The sequence below is a fragment of the Homo sapiens genome, chromosome 3 (genome assembly GCF_000001405.40).
Source record: "Homo sapiens chromosome 3, GRCh38.p14 Primary Assembly".
NCBI lineage: Eukaryota > Metazoa > Chordata > Mammalia > Primates > Hominidae > Homo > Homo sapiens.
Window position 1 is genome coordinate 124,520,612 of NC_000003.12, and position 20,712 is coordinate 124,541,323.

Here is a 20,712-nt window from a genome sequence, read left to right on the forward strand (position 1 = left end):
CCCTGGTGCCAGAAAGGTTGGGGACCACTGAGCTAAGGCACTCCCATGAGCTAGTAACAAACTTGGGCCAACTCTTTGGGAAATGAGGCATTGTTAAGAACCTCATGGCTTAAAGGCTTCATAAAAGGAAGGGGAGGCAGAACCAGTCAAGGAGGTTTCCATTCACTGGGCGCTTTTCTGACACCAAGTACCAGGAAGACACTTGATATCCTCTAATTTTCACAGCCATCCTGAGAGGCAGGTAGTACTTTGTTTTCCAAATGAAGAGAAGTAGATAACTTAAACTCACAGCCAGAACATAGCAGATCTGTGATTCAAATTCAGATCTCTCATCCCCAAATCCATGCTTTTCCAGGTCACTGGGCTGATGGCCCAGGTGCCCAGCCTGGGGTCTTCCTTGCACACCTCCCACAGGTGTTCACATCAAGGAACTATGCAGTTCTGTATGCCCTCGGGGTGCAGACCAGTGTCCTGCTCTTCCTTGTGTGATTGGAGATCCCTGACGGCCAGGGTCTTTGCAGCACACATCCATGTACCCTTGCCTTGTTGTGTAGAGCACAGGCTGATGAGGCGGAAATCACCATTTGGTTTTCATAGGGATTTGTTTACTTAGCAAATATTTTTCGAGTGCCTCCAAGCGCTGGGCATTATGAAGTGGGTGAGTAAACAGTCCCTGTTCTCACAGAGCTTACCAGTAGAGGAGACAGATATTAGTCAAGTAACACATGAGTGGATATATAAATACAACTGAAAAGGACCTTGGAGATCATTGAGATCAACTGATGAAACTGAGACCCAGAAATGCTAGTTGCCCAAGCAATTTGCCCAAGACCATGTAGCAAGTTAGGGCCAGAATAAAGACTAGAACTCAGAACTCCTGATTTTCATTCTTAAACTGTTTTCCCTACCCTAATATGTCACACTCTGGTCTGCTGCATATCCATAATAGACTGCCCCCAAGCCCCAGCCAGCCATATAATCATGTTGATCCATCAGGACACTATTGCCATTTTTAGAAAAAAACAGAGAGTATTTTGAAATGATAATTAAAGAGTATAGTGAACTAAATCCCTCAGGGTGGCACTTACCAAAGCTTGTTTTCAGAGTTATCTCGGAGCCCAGAGCAGAAACAGAGAGAGGCAAGGCTCCCATGCTGTAGCGACACTGACTAATAAGGGTGCTTACAGGTGTTTCAGTGTTTTGGTCTCACCCCAATACTTTCTCATCTCCCAGATTCAGCAGTTGCTTATTCACTCATTAATTCAACAAATATATACTGAGTGCCTACTAGGTGCCAGGCACAGTTCTTGGAGCTAGGGACACAGCAGTGAACAAAACAGGCTGCCCTCATGGAGCATACATTCTAGCTGGGAGAAACAGACAATAAACAAAATAAATAACACAGCATATTAGAAGAATCAAAGAAAAATAAGAAAGGAAGGTAGGGAGTGCCAAAGGTAGAGATGCATTTTTAAATAGGGTAGTCAGGAAAAAGACCTTCCTGAGAAAATGATGTACTCAGTACATCATTTTCTTTATTTAGTGACAAATAAATGTATGTATATACATACATATGTACATATGCACAGGCATATATACATATAATTTATATAATACAGATACATATGTAAGACCTTCCTGAGAAAATGATGTACTGAGTCATCATTATATATATACATATGTACATATACACATACATATATATACTATACATATACAAATATACAAATGAATTGGTGATAAATATATCTCTTTAAGTGTGACAGTGCATTTGACATGATTTAACATGTCGCTGTGGGCCTAGCTCTGAATAGCCAGCATATTGTGTAATTTGAAAAGTCCCACAAGCTGCTTCCTACTCCTTACAGAAAAAGGAAAAGAAAAAAAAAGCTTCTCATGGCATGTACCAATGCCCAATTCCTAGCATTCCCTTTTTGTGGGGCACTAAAGAAGTAGTTCTCAAACTTGAGTGTACATCAGAATTGCCTGGAAGGATTGTTAAAGCACAGACTGCAGGGCTGCACCCCCGGAGTTTGTGGTTCAATAAGATTTGGATGGATACAAAACTTTGCATTTCTAACAAATTCCCAGGTAATGCTGGTGGTCCAGGGACCACAGTCTGAGAACCACTAAATTAAGCTGTTATAGCTAGGAGGTTCCTGTTAAAATGAAGCTATTGCCTGAGAAATGAGGCATCCATTCATTAGGATGCATGGATGTTATCAAAGTAGTTATCCTTAAACAGCAGAATCGTTTAAAAATTGGACTATTTTTTTGAACAGGGGTAAGTTTCAGAAGCCACAGCCAAAGACCCCAAGCATGGAGGAATTAAACAAGGGATGTGTCCTGAAAGGAGGTGCCAACAGTATTTCATTATTTGTCTATCAATGCTTTACATTTTCATAACGTAATACTTTTATAAGCCCTTTTGACCACTACTTTCTTTTGACCAGTTAACCTACTAGGTGGGCAGTGCAAATGAATTATTACATTTTATAAATAAGAAAATTGAGACAAAAAGAGGTTATATGGCCTCCCTTGAGCTATCAAGTCTGAGACTCCCAGATCTCTTACTCCTATTCCATTTTTCTTTCTCCATTAACATTTTTCATAACACTAGCTATAGCTTTCGCCTGAGACATCTATTCTGGGATCATTAAAATCCAGGACATACAGCTGCTCTTGGTCTTTTGCCCTGTTCAGAATCCCACTTGCTGCAAGTAGATTATTCATATAAGTGATTAACTATGTCACGTCCTAGGCCCTGCATCAGTTTCTTCTGCCATAAACACATTTTTATTCTTCTCCACTGGGTATTTTACGGAGAAAATGCTAACTCATTTTGTTATTAGCCTAAGCTAGAACTTAGCATTATGAAAGCAAACCTGCTGGGGGAAAACACACATAATCCTTTCCAAAGGCAAATAGAAAAGACATTTTGATTATATGTACCATTGCTTTCATTCCATTAGTAGAGATAATTGAAAGTTTTCTGTTTCACGAAAGTACCCAGCAAAATGAGAGTAGATTTTGTTATATCTGATGACTGGTTAATCACATTCTTGAGTATTTAAATCTACCTACCCCTCCACAAAAAATGGAAATGAAGCATAAAATCCTTTTTTCCAGTTCTTGTCCTTCTAGTCATTTTCTCCATGTCTGCACTGTCTCCTCTTGGTGAGACAGTGAGGTCTCCCATTGACTCTCATGGTAGGGACCCTGTGGGTCACAAGGAGCTATCTTCCTTCTGCTTCTATACTGTCTTTGACTATCCAGCAGCCCAAGGCTTTAGAAGCTTAATTTCTAAATCTGCTCTCATCTGTCACCCAATACATTGATATTCTTACATCTTCTTCCTTCTCTACTGCCATTGGGACCATTCATTTATTCAGTAAACATTTACTATGTATCAGACACTCTAAGAGCCACTGAACAGGCTACAAAAATGAGTTTGAAATAATCCTATCCTCAAAGAACATGGCATGTTATAGAACCACTCCCTAAATCACATGGAGTCATAAACATCCGGATGTCTTCTCTATGTGGGTTACAGTCCCACGCAAGCTGCTCCCCATTTTCATTCTCTGTACTCTATGCTCAAAGAAAGCTAGTTGATGAGTTTTTTCAGCTCCAACATAAAATAGGCACCATTAGGAAATAAAATACACCTGGGGAAGAGAAAAGTGGGATGAGGAAGGAGAACTAGTCTGCGATTCTGAGTACACACAGAGATAGGTATGTATCGGCAGCCCAAAAGCATGGTAAACAGGGAGCAGTATAGGATCTAATATCTGCTGTAGACATTCCATGTGTGGACCATGGAAACTGATATATGTGGGTCATAAAGCTTGGATGACTAGAAGTTTCATATTGATGAAAGATCCAGTGTGAATGTGGTTTTGCTGAGCTTTAGACTCCAAAGTGTGCTGTGAAAATGACTATCCTTTAAAAAAATTAATGTTCACTGCAACACAAGGACTGAACATAAGAGAAAACAGGTTGAGTTGTGGGAGAGAGTGGAATGCAAGATTCAATGAGCTGAATCAGTATTAGAGAACCCATAAGAAAGATTCAGATCCTAGTCCAACAATGTGTATGTATGTGCATATAGGTACACAAATACATATGCACAGGAAATGTGTCAAAGGCCAGTTTTTATGAGGATGAGTCTCTTAAATATATTTCAAACTTATAATCCAGAAAGGAAGACAAGTTTAGAAAACCAAAAGTGCAGTCAGAGTTAAAGATAAGATTGTTAGGTGACCACACATCTTCCTCCCATTTGTGTGGAGCTACCTGAAGGTGTAGCACCTTTCACACTCTCAGCAGCTTAGAGGGGCTCAGCCTCTGACCACTCTTTTTTAGATTGGGCTTCGTGAATAGAATCACAAGCCAGGGGTTCAGGGTAGATATGCAGCTGGTTCTCAGATCTGTCCTTTGAAACCTGTTTTTACTGGTTCTGAAAACCTGTCCTGGCCCTGAAGAGAGTTTTCTCAGCACAGTGCTTATATCCAGGCTTACTAATGACCATCAAAGGTGCCAGTGGCATGATAGTACAGCCAGGCCTACCATGGGTGGATGTGGACATGGATAATGGTAGCCGTAGTTAGAATTTAGAGAGTTCAGAAATAGCAGTGATGGGAGAGGGGGTTTCTATGTGTCTGCTTTTGAGTTTCTGGGATGGTGGAATAAGGAAAGTTATTCTATCTGTAAGGATGTCCAGTGATTCTGTTACCTATTAATGGTGACCTTCTAATCAGCTTTATACCTAACATAATGTGGAGGTTTTAGATTTGCCTGTGTTGAGTTCTGCTGGGTGGTTGTTATGGCATGCATCTGAGTAAAGGGAAGTACCAGGTTGGGGGTGGGGATAAAAAATAATTGATGTAGAAAGAGAGTTTAGATTTTATTGGTATGGCACTGTCACTCCGAGAGTGACCTGTAAGGATAGCACTCTGAGTGTTGCTCTGGTGTCTCACAGATTCACGAGGACTTGCCTGGGATCTTGGCCTTGAGAAAAGCAAGTGGTTGATAAAATTGATTGACACAATTGAGCTTCTCCAAGGCCAGCTGGAAGTTAGCAATGAAAATAGGAGGCTTTGTACTTCTCAGACTTTCCTGTGTTCTCGTTTGCTGTTAAGGATGCTGACCTACTGCTTTATGTTTTGGTATTTCTGGGACTATTCAACCAACAAACTTGTAGGAGAGCCACAGGTATAACCCTCAAAGCCAGGCCAACACAGTACTCTCTGTCTACCCTGCAAAGCCACATAGGCAGGCTTGGAGATGGAATAGGTCATTAAAGAGGTGGAGGGGTGGGAGGGGGACAGGGTCCTTGGAGTCCTTGATTGATTGGTTGGTGTTGTAGAATAAAAGTGATGACATTTCAGTTTAATGGCACAGCAATATGTTGCTTGTAGGGCTACACACATTCACAGCCTTCCAGGAGAGGCCATGAAGCCATCCCAGCATTTCTGGCTTCTGAGGAGTGAATGATTCAGAAATTAAAGTGAGAAAATAATGAGCCTAGTGAGTGTGATGGTCATTCAAAGGGGATTGCTTAGATCATCACCACATGCCAGTTTCCCAACATGCCTCAGACCTCAAATTTGGCTATAATAGTAAAAAATCTGGATAACTTGTTTTTTCTCGATTAAAAGTCTTATAAAAATACATATGGAGCCAGGTGGGTGGCACATGCCTATAATCCTAGCACTTTGGGAGGCTGAGGCGGGCAGATCACTTGAGCCCAGGAGTTCGAGACCAGCATGGCCAATATAGCGAGACCCTATCTCTACCAAAAAAGATACAAAAATTACCCAGCATGGTGGCGTGCACCTGTAGTCCTAGCTACTTGGGAGGCTGAGGTGGGAGGATCACTTAAGCCCAGGAGGCAGAGGTTGTGGTGAGCCAAGATCACACCACTGCACTCCAGCCTGGGCAATGGAGCGAGACTGTGTCTCAAAAAATAATAATAATAATGATAATAATAGTGCATATGGGAGCAGGGGTAGGAGGAGTAAGGATGTGGAGGGTTAGATAGAGTAGCACCACTAGTCACATCTTTGGTAAATGTTTGACATGAGAAGGGCTATAAAGGGTTATGTCCAAAATAGTATAATGATTGGGATTCTGGAGAGTCCCTCCACTATCAGAGACTATAGAAATGGCTAATACCTCCCCCAGAGGCCAATGAAGGAGTTACGTCTCCAAAACAAGAGAATGTGTATTGCTAATAATTAGTGACTCTCAAGAAGTACTGGGTATCCATCACATCATTCATTTATTCATCCAACAGCTATTTATTAGATACCTACTATGTGTCAGGCACTATTCTAGACAGGAAAAAGAAAACAACAACAACCACAGACAAGAATTCCTGCCCTCATGGAGTTTATATTCTGGTGGAAATACAGACAAATAAGTAAGGTATATAAAATGCTAGATGATGATACATGTTATGGTGAAAAATAAAGCTGCAAAGGAATGTAGGGAGTGCAGGAGATGAGGAAGGAGTGCAGGGAGAAACTAAGATCCAATGACTGACACAATCAGGGCTACAGAGCACTAGGAAATTCATCCAGATGATCTCAAGGCAGATAGTAGTAATGAGTCTGTGAGTGTCGGGGGAAATGGAGAGGTAAGGGTTTTGCAAGAAACATACAGAAGATTTTATAAATCTCTCTTTATTACTTCCCACAAAAAGCATGAAGATTGGCTGGGCATGGTGGCTCACACCTGTAATCCCAGCACTTAGGGAGGCCAAGGCAGGAGGATCATGAGGCCAGGAGATCGAGACCATCCTGGCTAACACGGTGAAACCCCGTCTCTACTAAAAATACAAAAAATTAGCCAGATGTGGTGGCACACACCTGTAGTCCCAGCTACTCAGGAGGCTGAGGCAGGAGAATCGCTTGAAACCAGGAGGCAGAGGTTGCAGTGAGCCGAGATTGTGCCACTCCAGCCTGGGCGACAGAGCAAGACTGTTTAAAAAAAAAAAAAGAAGAAGAAGAAGAAGCATTGGGGAGAAGCAATTTTATCTAGGAGCAAGTAGGAACTCTCAGATAAGATAGCGTCTGCCCCAGTCTTCATGCCTCCACTGAAGCGAAGAGGGTGCCCAGAAATGTACCCCAGAAGTCAAGTGGGAACCTCAAACTATTCCCCCATCCTTTACCAGCAGTCAAGAGAAGCCTTTCTGATATGACATCAGCCTAGGTTTGAAGAACCTAGATTCCATTCAAAGTGATGATGACCTCACCTATGGTGTGGTTAAACATCCTTCAAGTTCACATGGCGAGATTCGTGAAAACAAATCAAGGTTTGGTCCAAGTTCTATATGAATCTGGGAGCCAAGAATTCATACTATTCATGCACTGTTTATAAATCAAGGGAAGCTTAAAGGGGCATTGCAGATTCTGAATAGTGTGACAGGTATTTGTTTTGTCCCTAAGAGGTTTAAAAATATTAATTCCCTTTGGCTACTTCCTCCTGATTCCCAGCAGACTGTACAGTCCCTCCAGTCTAGTTTGATAAAGTTTCAGCAGCAGCAGGAAGCATGGTTTCCAACAATGCCTGCATGGAGACCCACCATGGTAACTAGTACAAGGACAGAGAAAGTCCCGGTTTGCTTTATCACAAATAGGACAGAACTCCAGGGGACCCAGTGAAGAGGTGCAGGAATTCCTGTTACGGTCTTTGGATAATAATTCATATAGAGTATACCTATTGCTTGGTTCCCTGTGCCCAAGTAGTAGGTATGTTCAACCTAGATCTGAGGCCATGACAGCAGGAATATGGCTCAGTCACAGTTGTGGGTAAATGTAGCTTCCCTATGTCCTCTCCCCAAGCCCCACTTAGGACTCATCAAATTTATGCAGCAGACTCGAGAGTTAAGGAGAACCTGGCTCTCTCCTCCCAACTGCCTCAGTGTGCCCTCAAGAGACAAGCTTTTAAAGTTGAAGCCAAATGGGAGGGGAGCTTAGAGTACCAGCACACACACCCACCCTCCCATTCATTGTGTACTAGTTACCATCTAATGCTAAGGTTAGCTCTAGAGAGATACATTGCAAGACTAAGTTCAGGAGGTTGTTTGCCATTGCTATGTTGAAAAATTAGTCTAAGATGGCATTGGTTAGCCTTTCCAGATAATGGCTGAATGGGGCAGGTTCATTCCAACTCAGGTCTTGTTATAGGAGCCAAGTAATGTAACAGCAAACAAAATCACATTCTCTATGTGGCTATGAGAAATCAAATGTAATACTTGGTTATTTTCTATTTTCTTGGATCTATACTTGTGCTCAGCAGGGGGGGCTCTAAACATACCCATATAGGTCAACCATCTTTTTGTCCTATCCTGATAAAAATTTAATTTTGAACATGACTCAGACTCATCTGTAGATTGCAAAAACTTTTGAACTTATATGTACGTGTAGATCATTAGCTGGATAAAGAATCAGTATAGTTTTATAAAATTCGTGTCAAATCATACTAGTACCCAAACTGGTAATTGCCACAGGATAAGTTCCATGAGGGTAGGGATTCTTGTCTGCTTTCTTCACTGCTATATCCCCAGTACCTATGCTAGTATCTGACACATTGTAGATAATGCAAGTACAATTACATAGCATGTACAGCAAGTGCAGTCTCCTTAGTGTACAGAAACAGAGAGAGAAAAACTTCCCATCTTTAGTGCAAGCAGACTGGTAGATGAGGACCTCCCCTGTTGCAGTGCTGAAGAGTAGGAAGTTCTCCAGAATGATGTTATACTTGGCAAAAACAAGGAGCATGCTGCTTGAGTTCCAGTTCTTGATAATGCAAGAGTGGAAGACAGGTCTGATGCATGATCTGGTAGGCAAAACTCAAATCCAGAATCGAGGGCCAGGGTCGTTTAACAGGTAGGGCCTGTTAAACCTAGCAAATTATAGCGTTGGAGCTTCTTTGCTAGGTTTTCAGGTAGCAAAGAAGCTCTAAGGCCATAATCAAGGTGGACAGTGGAACCCAGGTGCACAGCCAGATGTGGGAAACTACAGGGTGGTTTGGTCACTGACAATTCAAATAATTCTGATAAATGCCAACTCTTCTCTCAACACAGTTTTATTCTACACATGAGCTTTTAAATGTGCTACTTGACTTCTGGGGCCCTGTAGATCATTTCTAATTAAGAATGGAAAATGGGAAGATGGAAAAAAAAAAAAGCACCAAGGGCCAAGAACAATGAACAAGAGAATAAATCCAACAGGGCACATGTCAAATAAAAAAGAAAGAAACAACTGCTATGAGAAGTCAGATTTGAAAAATGTCCCTCATTTGGTTTGCTTCACTGAGTTGGTTACCAATGAGAAAGACTGAAGTCTCAAAGACAGTGTTGATTGCAAATGCGCTTCTCTCTGCCCTGCCCCACCCCCATCTCATTCAACATTCCTGAAGCTCCAGGAAATGAAAATGTGAGAATCAATCCATCTATTGTGAGTCAGCCCAAGAAATGGTCAACAGTGGCATCTGATGCCAATTCCCTGGTAGCAAGTGAAGCTGATCTTCAGCTTGATTTTAATGAGCTTTAGGACTGTTCCAAAAATACATAAAAGGGATAGAAAATATCCTTAATTAGAAGAATCATATAGTCCATTTGGGAGAGAGAAAATATAAATACTCAGGGAACAAAATTCATACCATGTAGGATAGGAATAGCTATTGCATTATCCTGAGAGGTCCAAAAGTTAGAATGATCTCGCCTCCCTTTTTATCTCTGTCCAACACCGAAGATGAGTCATTTGATGTAATGGCAGTCATCTTCAGGTTGTTTTTGTTTTTTTATTTGTTGCCCAGGCTGGAGTGCAGTGGTGTGATCATAGCTCACTGCAGCCTTGACCTCCTGGGCTGAAGTGATCCTCCTGCTTCAGCCTCTTGAGTAGCTGGGACTACAGATGTGTACCACCACACTTAACTAATTTTTGTATTTTTTTGTAGAGATGGGGTCTCACTGTTTCCCAAGCTAGTCTCAAACTCCTGACTTCAAGTAATCCTCAGCCTCCCAAAGTGCGAGGATTACAAGCCGGGTTGTTTTAAGAACTGCTAGTAATAATCATGATAGTAGTAGTAACAACAATAATAAAATCCAGTAAGTCGGCTATAATTGCATTCAGTTTGTATTTGTCTTAGTATGGCCCCATTATAACTCTCTCCCTTTCTTAACTTTATTTTTCCTGCCACTCTTTCAAAGTTCCCGGACTCCTACCAATACTCATCCCTAAGACAATTCAATCGAGAACAAAAGTGAATATATCTGTTGGGATAAGCCAAGTTTTGCTATGGTAACAACTCTAAAAATGTTGGTGGATTTAAACAACAAGGACTTACTTCTTGTTAACACTACATGTTTGTAATGTAGTTTTATCCATAGCAGGGGGCTCTGTTCATTATAGGCCCTCAGGGATTCTCTGGTTGACCAACTTCTAAAGTTGCCAGTTACCATCCCAGACAGAAAGATAATTCTGAATGTTCTTACTCCCACAATTAAATGCTCCAAACTGGAAATGACTCAACACCAATGACCAGAACTAGTCACATAGACCTACTCAATCACAAAGAGCCCAGGAAAAGCAATTGAGTTATATATCCAGAAGGCAGAAATATTTGGTGAGTGTCAGAATGACTACCTTAGCAGTTAACAACAAATCATACTTGCAAATAATTTACATTTGGACTCTAATATTTATATTTTGGCTTTAACTCAAATAGATTTTCAAATTTTGGCTCTACTCAACAGATTTGTATATGTGAATTTCCAATTTACACCTTGAAGTAGTGTTATTTATGTTTAGCTCATGGTTTGCTTTCTGTTAATCTTGGTATTAGTCCATTCTCACATTGCTATAAAGAAATACCAGAGACTGGGTAATTTGTAAAGAAAAGAAGTTTAATTGGCTCGTGGTTCCACAGGCTGTACAGCAAACATGATGCTCACATCTGCTGGGCTTCTAGGGAGGCCTCAGGAAACTTACATGGCAGGAACAGGAGCAAGAGAGAGAGTGAGGGGGGAGGTGCCACACACTTTTAAACAACCAAATCTCACAAAACTTACTCATTATCACAAGAACAGCACAAAAGGGATGGTGCTAAGCCATTCATGAGAAACACCTCCCTGATCCAGTCACTTCCCACCAGGACCTGCCTCCAACATTGGGGATTATAATTCAACATGAGATTTGGGCAGGGACACAGACTCAAACCATATCAGTCCTACTACCCTAATTTCTACTCACCCCTGTCCATGAATGATAGGTCTCATATGTAGGGGGTCAGTGCTAACGTCAATGTTTAAAGTATAAAGGTAAGAAAGCTTCGTGTTCTTCTTGGAACTTTTTCAAGACTTAGAGAACCAATTCTTAGGGTACAATGGCCTGGTGAGTCTAGTGGGACATGAGCCTTCTGTATCTTAGAGCTTAATTTATTATATTATTCATATGCTAACCAGTGGAGTTCTCTATTGGCATCTGGCATAAGATTCTCTACACAGTAGATGATGCATGGTAGGGAAGTGAACTTACTGAATCCCCAATAGCAGAGTCACTGACCAATGTTGCAAAGCATGTTTTACATAAGTGTAAGAACATGCCACATATGTCATGTCACCTCTTATAAGTAATCCTATAAGATTGCATGACATTGCTCTAGAAATCACATAGTTACTCCATTATTACGTAGCTTGTGGTATCACTGCCAGGGCAAATTCCAATGTAAACCACATTCAGATTATCTGCAAACCTGGGCAAGAAAATGTAGCACTGTAATGGCATAGAACACTGGGTTGGAATCAGGAAATTTAGTTTTGATCCTAATTCTGCTATTGATCAGGTATATGAGCTTTGAAAAATGTGTTAGCCCAATCATCTCTTATCCACACCTTTTTCCTAGGCTGGGCATGGTGGCTCATGCCTGTAATCCCAGCATGCTGGGAGGCTGAGGTGGGCGGATCACTTGAGGTCAGGAGTTCAGAACCAGCCTGGCCAATGTGGTGAAACCCTGTCTCTACTAAAAATACAAAAAATTAGCTAGGCAGGGTCGCACACATCTGTAGTCCCAGCTACTCAGGAGGCTGAGGCAGGAAAATTGCTTGAGAGGCGGAGGTTGCAGTAAGCTGAGATCCCACCACTGCACTCCAGCTTGGGCGACAGAGGAAGACTCTGTCTCCAAAACAAAACAAAAGAAAAAAACTGTTTCCTAATCTGTAACAGTGGAAAGTAATATAAACTGATTTCTACATTTCCTTCTTTTTTAATCAGTATACTTTCCTATTAGTTCTTACCAATAATTCCATGACTTTTATGGGAAAAAAAAAAAACAAATACACATCCTAAGTAATGTTGAATTGGAAAAAAACATATTTATATATAAATAATAACCTAATTATATATATAATTATATACATAATTATTATCTATACTGATAAAAGAGACATAGATACTGTAAAATAGTAATTTTTAAAAAATTGTTTATGGCTGGGCATGGTAGCTCATGCCTGTAATCCCAACAGTTTGAGAGGCCAAGGTGGTAGGATCACTTGAGTCTAGGAGTTCAAGAGCAGCCTGGGCAACACAGCAAGACCTCATCTCTACTAAAAGTTAAAATAAAAAATAATTTAAAAATTATTTAGCTTGAAATATAGGCACAGATGTTTTCAGAAATTAACATATATGCTCCATTTTCTCTCTCATTTATTTATCCATTCATTTAAAAATATATTGAGCAAGGCCAGGTGCAGTGGCTCATGTCTATAGTCCTAGCACTTTGGTAAGCCGAGTTGAGCAGATTGCTTGAGCCCAGGAGTTTGAGACCAACCTGGGCAACATGGCAAAACCCCATCTCTACTAAAAAATACAAAAAAATTAGCCTGGCATGGTGGAGCACACCTGTGGTTCAAGCTTCTCAGGAGGCTGAGATGGGAAGGTCACCTGAGCTTGGCAAGTTGAGGCTGCAGTGAGCCAAGATCGCACCACTGCACTCCAGCCCGGGTGATGGGAGAAGTGAGAGCCTGTGTCAAAAAAACCAAAAACAAATAAAGAAACTGTTGAGCATATGTCATGTAATCAGCTGGGTTAAGTGAGTGGAGAGGTGCAAGCACATTAAGGACACTGGCAAGAGCATTACTAAAATAATGAGCCATGCACTTTACTCTCCAAAAGGTGAAGCATAATTCCCCACTCTAACTATGGCCTGTGTATAGTAACTTATTTTCAAAGAGTACAGTGTGAAAGGGAGGGAAAGAGTAACTTCACAGTGGAGAAATCTGGCAAACACTACCTCAGTCAGGTTATTATCAACAGGTTACCTCCATCAAACATCAACAGTGAGAGGTCACGTTGATAGCACGTACCCTTGATATGATGTGGTGCTCTTCCTCACCAAATCCATAACCCCAGTCTACTCATGAGAAAAACATCAGATACATCCAATTGAGAAATATTCTACAAAATACCTCACCAAAACTCAATATATTCAAAAGCAAGGAAATCTTGAAATACTGTCACACCCAAGAGGATTCTAAGATGACATACTAAATGTAATGTGGAATCCTGAATGGGATTCTGGAAGAGAGAAAGAATATTAAGTAAAAACAGGGAATCTGAATAATATATGAACTTTAGTTAAAATTGGTTCATTTATCAGAAAACCAAACACCACATGTTCTCACTCATAAGTGGGAGTTGAACAATGAGAACACATGGGCACAGGAGGGGTAACAACACACACTGGGGCCAGTGGGGACGTGGGGGGCCAGGGGAGGGAGAGCATTAGGACAAATAGTTAATGCACAGAGGGCTTAAAACCTAGATGATGGGTTGACAAGTGCAGCAAACCACCATGGCACATGTATACCTATATAAGAAACCTACACATTCTGCGTGTGTATCCCAGAACTTCAAGTAAAATAAAATAAAAATGAGTCATGGCATCTAAGCTACATATGAAGGAAACCGATGAAGAGAGAGTATTGATGGATTGGGAGAAAGTAAAGGACTCTATGAACTGGAAGTCTAGTGGGGTGATCAAAAGGTGTGAGTACCTGAATGAGCAAATTGGAAGGAGAGGAAGCTGTGGTAAGGAAGGAAGATATGAGGTGTCTAATTCTAAGCAAGATAGAGAAGTAAGAACCAGATTTCCTTCCTGGCCTGAAACAATTTTTTTAATGGGCAAAATATAAGAAACAATAATTTTCAAGACACTGGACATCAGACAACAAGGACAGTGTGATCCCTGAGAGACAATAAACAAACCAAGCGAACCCTGCAAATACCCCAGCTTACTGCTTTGAGTTTCCAGGCGTCAATGCGGGGAGGGGTAGAATGCCTGTTTCTAGCCAGAGTAAAAAAATCTCAAATTCCCAGGAATCAGGAAGAGTACTCAGAAGGGTCTTAACCTGAGTAGTGGGGAATAATAAATCCTAGACTAAACTTGGCTCTGTTTCTGCCTATGAGACCCTGTCTCAAAAAATATAAAAATTAAAATTAAAAAACAGTGCATGATTATATAGTAAATGAGGTGGATGGGGGGATATTTCCTATAAAGAAGTTTTTTTTTTTAAAACACTAGCAACTTGTAAACACCCTTGAATATATTAAAATATATAAAATGAAATAAATTTGGAAAAAGATTATGTACAGATATGCTCACAAAACTCAGTCATCATCAGTCACTCCAAGTGTTCCCTGTATTCACTTCTTACACCAATTTACAGCTTGTTTCTCATCTTTTCTTTTAGGCAGAGACTTTCTGGCTCTGCTTATACCAGCTATACTTAAGTTTTCCAAGAGTGCTACAGCACAACCTGATATGAAAACTTGCCCCTTCAGTCTGCTTCAATCTGTCTGGTCACTTGGGTTTCAGATCAGGAGTGTCACAGGCATTGCTGTCGGCTGAGCACTCATAATTAGCTCTCTGGTATTCCCCTCACTCTCTGTCTCCTTTGTCAATGAGATATGGTTTTTTGATCCAAGCTGCTTTTGAATTTTCTTTTCTCTTCTGATCAGAATAGAAAAACACAGAGATTAAAAAACATCTCCAACCTTTCCTTGTCTACCTTCATAAGACTCTGTCATCTAGATCAGGATCAGAAGGCTTGGCTGCATATAAAAGAAAAGCCCCAGGTGACACCGGCTTAAATAACAGAGAAGTTTATTTTTCTTTCACATAACAGATAACTGCAGGTAAGCGGTCCAGGACTGGTAAAGAAGATCCACAAAGTCCTCAGGCACCCGGCTCCTTCTAACTGATTCCTTCACCATTCCCAGGGTTTAGTCTAATTCTCATATCCTAGATGGATGGTGTTCCAGGGAGCAGGTTGGAAGGGAAGGGAAAATGTGCCATCCCCCATATTAAAAAGACCATTGCAACAAACACTAAGAGTTACATCCCATTGGCCAGAGTGTGATAATATGCCTGCAATAGCTGCAAGGGAACCAGGGAAATGTAGTCTTTTACTGGGTAACAATGTGTCTCCCCCAGCCACCCAAAATGAGTCTTCGTTACTAAGAAGTAAGGGCACGATGGACTCTGGGAGGCACTTGCAAGTCTTTGCCATCCATACTCTTTTTTTTTTTTTTTTTTTTTTGAGATGGAGTTTCACACTTGTCACCAAGGCTGGAGTGCAATGGTGCAATCTCAGCTCACTGCAACCTCTGCCTCCCAGGTTCAAGTGATTCGCCTGCCTCAGCCTCCTGAGTAGCTGGGATTACAGGCATGAGCCACCACGTCCGGCTAATTTTTGTATTTTTAGTAGAGATGGGGTTTTGCCATGTTGGCCAGGCTGGTCTTGAACTCCTGACCTCAGGTGATTCGCCTGCCTCAGCCTCCCAAAATGCTGGGATTATAGGCGTGAGCCACCATGTCCAGCCTCCATTCTATTTTGTATTACCAGAAAAATTGCTAGTAGCAATCCATTGTACATATCTAATTAGTTTCCTCCTCCACATTGTGTACTTACTTTGTACAGAAAAAGATGTTACTTTATTTGTGCAGAAGAGTATTAATGTATAGCAAAGGTATCCTTGAGACTCATAACTCCTAACTTATTCCATATATCATAAAGAAGCGTTGTATTTTTCCTTCTTAACATTTAAAATATATTTTAAGACAGATCAATTTTTAAAGAGTTATGAGACATTTTCCTCAAAATTGATGATGCCACAATGAAAAGCCCAAAGTTATAAACCAGTAAAAGGCATTTAAAATATACACTCTACACTTATTTCTGAAAGGACTTGAGAAAGTTCAATTAAAACACTAAAAAAGATGTGAAATTTAAAAAGTAAACATAAGAGAATCCACATCTTCATGCAGGGGATGTAGAAGTTTCAAATTTATGATGAGGCGAAGTACAGCACTTTCCATGTACTTCAGCAAACTCCAGTTGACAATAATTGAAAACCTACTCCATAAGAGAATTTTTTTTTAAGATAGAGTCTCACTCTGTCACCCAGGCTGGAATGCAGTGGCACAATCTCGGCTCACTGCAACCTCCACCTCCCGGTTTCAGGCAATTCTCATGCCTCAGCCTCCTGAGTATATGGGACTACAGGCAGGTGCCACTACGCCCAGCTAATTTTTGTATTTTTAGTAGAGATGGGGTTTCACCATGTTGGCCAGGCTGGTCTTGAACTCCCGACCTAAGGTGATCCTCCTGCCTTGGCCTCCAAAAGTACTGGGATTACAGGTGTGAGCCACCATGCCTGGCCAAGAGAAATTTTTTAAAACCACGATACTTTCAATCCAGTGAAAGGTACAGGAATGTAGACAAATACCATCCAAGGCAAAAAATGTGCTGGAATAGAGATACAAATATCATTCTGCTAGAGTGAAAAGGTAGGGAGATGTTACTGGGAACTGCTGGTGGTGATGATGCAGACAGGAGCTGCTTATGGAGGCGATTCGTGAATGAGGTGGCCTTTGAACTGGCCTCGAGGATGGAAAAGGATTTCCAGAAGATGACAGAAGTGTGGTTTGGGAAAGGAAGGAAGGAACTATTCCAGGCTGAGAAAAACATCATAAATAAAAGTCAAGAAGTTGGGAAAATGTTGGCTCTGTCTGAGAATCAGCAAGCATAGGTGAGATTTGGCGTGCAGGATCTGTCTAGGTAGCAGATGAGTAGGAAAGACTGAGAGGTTGATCTGAGAAACCTTATGTGGTATGCTCAGGGATTTGGACCTGGTTCTCTGGGCAGTAGAGGAATAGGAGAAGAAGGAAGATGAGCATGCTCACATTCTATGACCTCTGTTTTCTCAGTAAGTAGTGAGCAAATCTTCTGTTCATGAGATGTTTGTTAGTTTGTAAAGAATGTAAAGGGTTTAGAAGAGGATAATATGGTAAGGAATCAAAAAAGAAACAAGCAAAAGAATTGTGAGAAACGTCGAAGTCCCCACGGAGGTGTTGGAAGTGAATTTGTCTTCACATTTTTGACAAAAGTAAAATGTATTAGATTAAATAACATTTTGGCTTTTGACAAGTGCAAGTACATATACCATGAGGCAAAAACGTATGTACCTTCTCTCACCACTGCCTTCTTTCAGCACAGCAGGACGATTTTGAGTGACCTTGATATAGGAACCAAAGAAGGTGATATTGAAGAGCCAAAGAGTGTTTGTGTGTGTGTGTGTTTGTGTGTGTGTGTGTGTATGTATGTGTGTGTGAGAGACAGAGAAACAGAGGCAGAGACAGAGACAGGATGCGAGAGATGGGGAGGAGAGAGGAGCACTATTTGTCTTAAGTAGTTAAGAAGAAATTATCACTGGGTGATAGTTGTTGGTCAGAGGAGAAGGTTGTGTGTGTGCATTGTGAATAAGGTGGGACATTTGGATGAGTTTTTAAAGCAGTGCTGAGTATTCTGGGTCAAAATGACACTAAAAGAAGATAATTTTCCATAGAGAAACTTGTACAAAGAGAAACTTAGATGATAACCTAAGAGATATTATCTGGTGGAGCAGGAGGGAGACAGACCTTTCCCCTTACTTCTTTCACAAGGGCATTGTAACAGTAAAGATGAATGTGGAGATTTAAGCAGAATACCTTTCAGAATGACGACCCTGTAGCAGAGCGAATAGTGGGGCCCCAAAAGGCCACAGAGCTCAGAGTGGCTGGAGCAACTCTCCCACCACACTCACGCTGAGTCTTGGCATCTCCACCTTGTAATTCTGCCTGGGGAAAGCTGCGAATTGGAGCACTAAGTTAGAACTTAAGAATGCTTTTCGATCTTTTTTTGAAGATTTGCTTTATAGATGAAGAAATAGGTCCGGAGAGAGTCAGTGGCTTGCCCAAGATCACTGTCCACATAGGGGCAGAACTAGATGGCCATCCAGACTCTTGACTCATAGCCCAGTGCTCCTCCTGCCATTTCTACCATGCTGTCGCATGGTGCCTGGGGGGCTGGTGCAGATCACTGTGAAAGTGCCACTGAGTTCTGTGCAGCCCTGATGGCTGCACGTGCCACTCCCAAAGATGCAACTATGGGGATGTGATCTGTAGCCTGCCAGATGAAGGGGAGCCAAGGGAAGCAGTCAGATGGGGATTTCAGGAAATGCTCTAAAATGGGTATTGAGAGGGTTTTAGAAGAAAAAATCTACTTACCACCCTGTTTCAGGGATATTAAAATGCAGTGCAAACCTCCCACATGCACTTAGGCTTTCTGTGCCTTCTGGGGACTGATAGATCTTCTCTCTAAAATGCATTGATCCTCTGAGGGAGATAGACCACAAAGTTCCAAATCCTCTCCCATCTGAGAGGTAGAAGGCTGGAAGCTTTAAAACATCGACCATTGTTCCATTAGGAAGGATGAGCATGACAATAATTATCTAACTTTTGCACAGCTGAGCACCCAACTCATTGAGACCCACCAGACGCACCTGCACACCCCTGGCAGGCTGCAAGCTCTATGGCTCAGCACAAAGCAAAACAGAGGGGAATGCAGATACTTTGCCCAGAGGTTTAGTGAGGTGCTGAATAAAGAAAGGACTATGACCACTGGTGTTTTTATAGGAAAACCTGAGAGAAAGAAGGTAGACAAGCCTTGGGTTTTCCAGATTCTTTTGAAGGAAGGAAGGGAGAAAAAAAGAGCAAGAGTCAGAGTTTTGTATATTTTTGTGCATTTGACTTTATTTGTATCATTTTGTGTTTTTTTTTGAGATAGGTCTCATTCTATTGCCCAGGCTGGAGTGCAGTGGTGTGATCTCAGCTCATTGCAGCCTTGACCTCCCGGGCTCAACCTCAGCCTCCCCAGTAGCTGGGATTATAGGCATGCATCACCACACCAAGCTAATTTTTTTTGGGGGGGGGGACAGGGTCTCACTGTCACCCAGGCTGGAGTGCAGTGGCATGATCTTGACTCACTGCAACCTCCGCCTCCCAGGTTCAAGCGATTCTCCTGCCTCAGCCTCCCGATTAGCTGGGATTACAGGTGCCTGCCACCACACCCGGCTAATTTTTGTGTTAATTTTTGTATTTTTTATGAGACAGGGTTTTGCCATGTTGCCCAGGCTGGTCTCAAACTCCTGTGCTCAAGCATTCCGCCCACCTTGGCTTCCCAGTGCTAGGATTACAGGTGTAAGCCACTGCACCCGGCCACATTTAATACTTTAAATTATTATAAATGCATATGTGATAAATGAGCTATGCAAAGAAGTCCCTTTTATTTTTAGTCACCCATTCAGGCTCTTTTAGAAGAAAAATATATGTCAGGGTAGCCATGCGCCCAGGTCTATATATAAAGCAGTTTATGGAGCAGTTCTCATTTTAAAGAAATCTGTCGTGTAGCCAGACGATGTTTCTTGGTTTCTCATTTGGGAGTTTTTTAGACATAATATGATAACATGGTTACCATAGGTGTAAGGTGAAGGGCTAGCTGGGTGGGTAGCCATGCACAGGTATTTGAGACTCTGAATCATACATATACACAATTTTGGAGAGCTGGAGTGGACCTTGAAATCTTTTAGTCCAACCCTTTTGTTTTACAGATGCAATAACCGTGGCTTAGAAAGTTAAAGTTGCTTGTCCAAGCCACAGAGCTGGGAATCATATCCAGGGCTCTTCATTTTCAGTCCAGAACTCTTGACATTGTATCTCTCTATCATGGTGCTGTGAAGGTCAATTTTTTGGCAGATCTAGGGCCACTCCGTGGGCACCACTTACCAAAACTAAGCCTTATGTGAGGCACTGGTTTATGTCCATCACAGCTGACATTTAGGGGTTCACGATCATGTTCCCTAGCTGCATGCCAGTCAACCCCCCACAGCAGAGCTTAGGAACTATGTAAGTATTAATTGTTCTCCCTATTACTCTGGGCTGACTGTCACCTCTTTAGCACAGTTGGAAACAGTTTCTTAAAAACTGAAAAACAGTTGGTTAGTTGCTAGTCACAGCCTGTTCTGTGAGGGAGTGGAACTTATTTCCTGTGTCTTGGTGGCATAAAATATAAGCCGTCTTTGGCGACAGAACTGTTTTTGTTACCTAACTGTCAGAATTCATGAAGGTTTTTGTGTATATGTGTTTTGTTTTAGAAAACCCTTATGATTCAGCTGGGCATGGTGGCTCACGCCTGTAATCCCAGCACTTTGGGAGGCTGAGGCAGGTGGATCACTTGAGGTCAGGAGTTTGAGACCAGCCTGGCCAACGTGGTGAAACCCCATCTCTACTGAAAATACAAAAATCAGCTAGGCATGATGGCACATG

The 20,712-nt window shown here is 41.6% G+C and overlaps 1 protein-coding gene across 24 annotated transcripts in view; it reads left to right on the forward strand.

Moving 5' to 3' along the window:
* Positions 1–20,712, forward strand: part of KALRN (kalirin RhoGEF kinase) — a 692,957-nt gene that overhangs the window by 487,243 nt on the left and 185,002 nt on the right. The window lies entirely within an intron of this gene.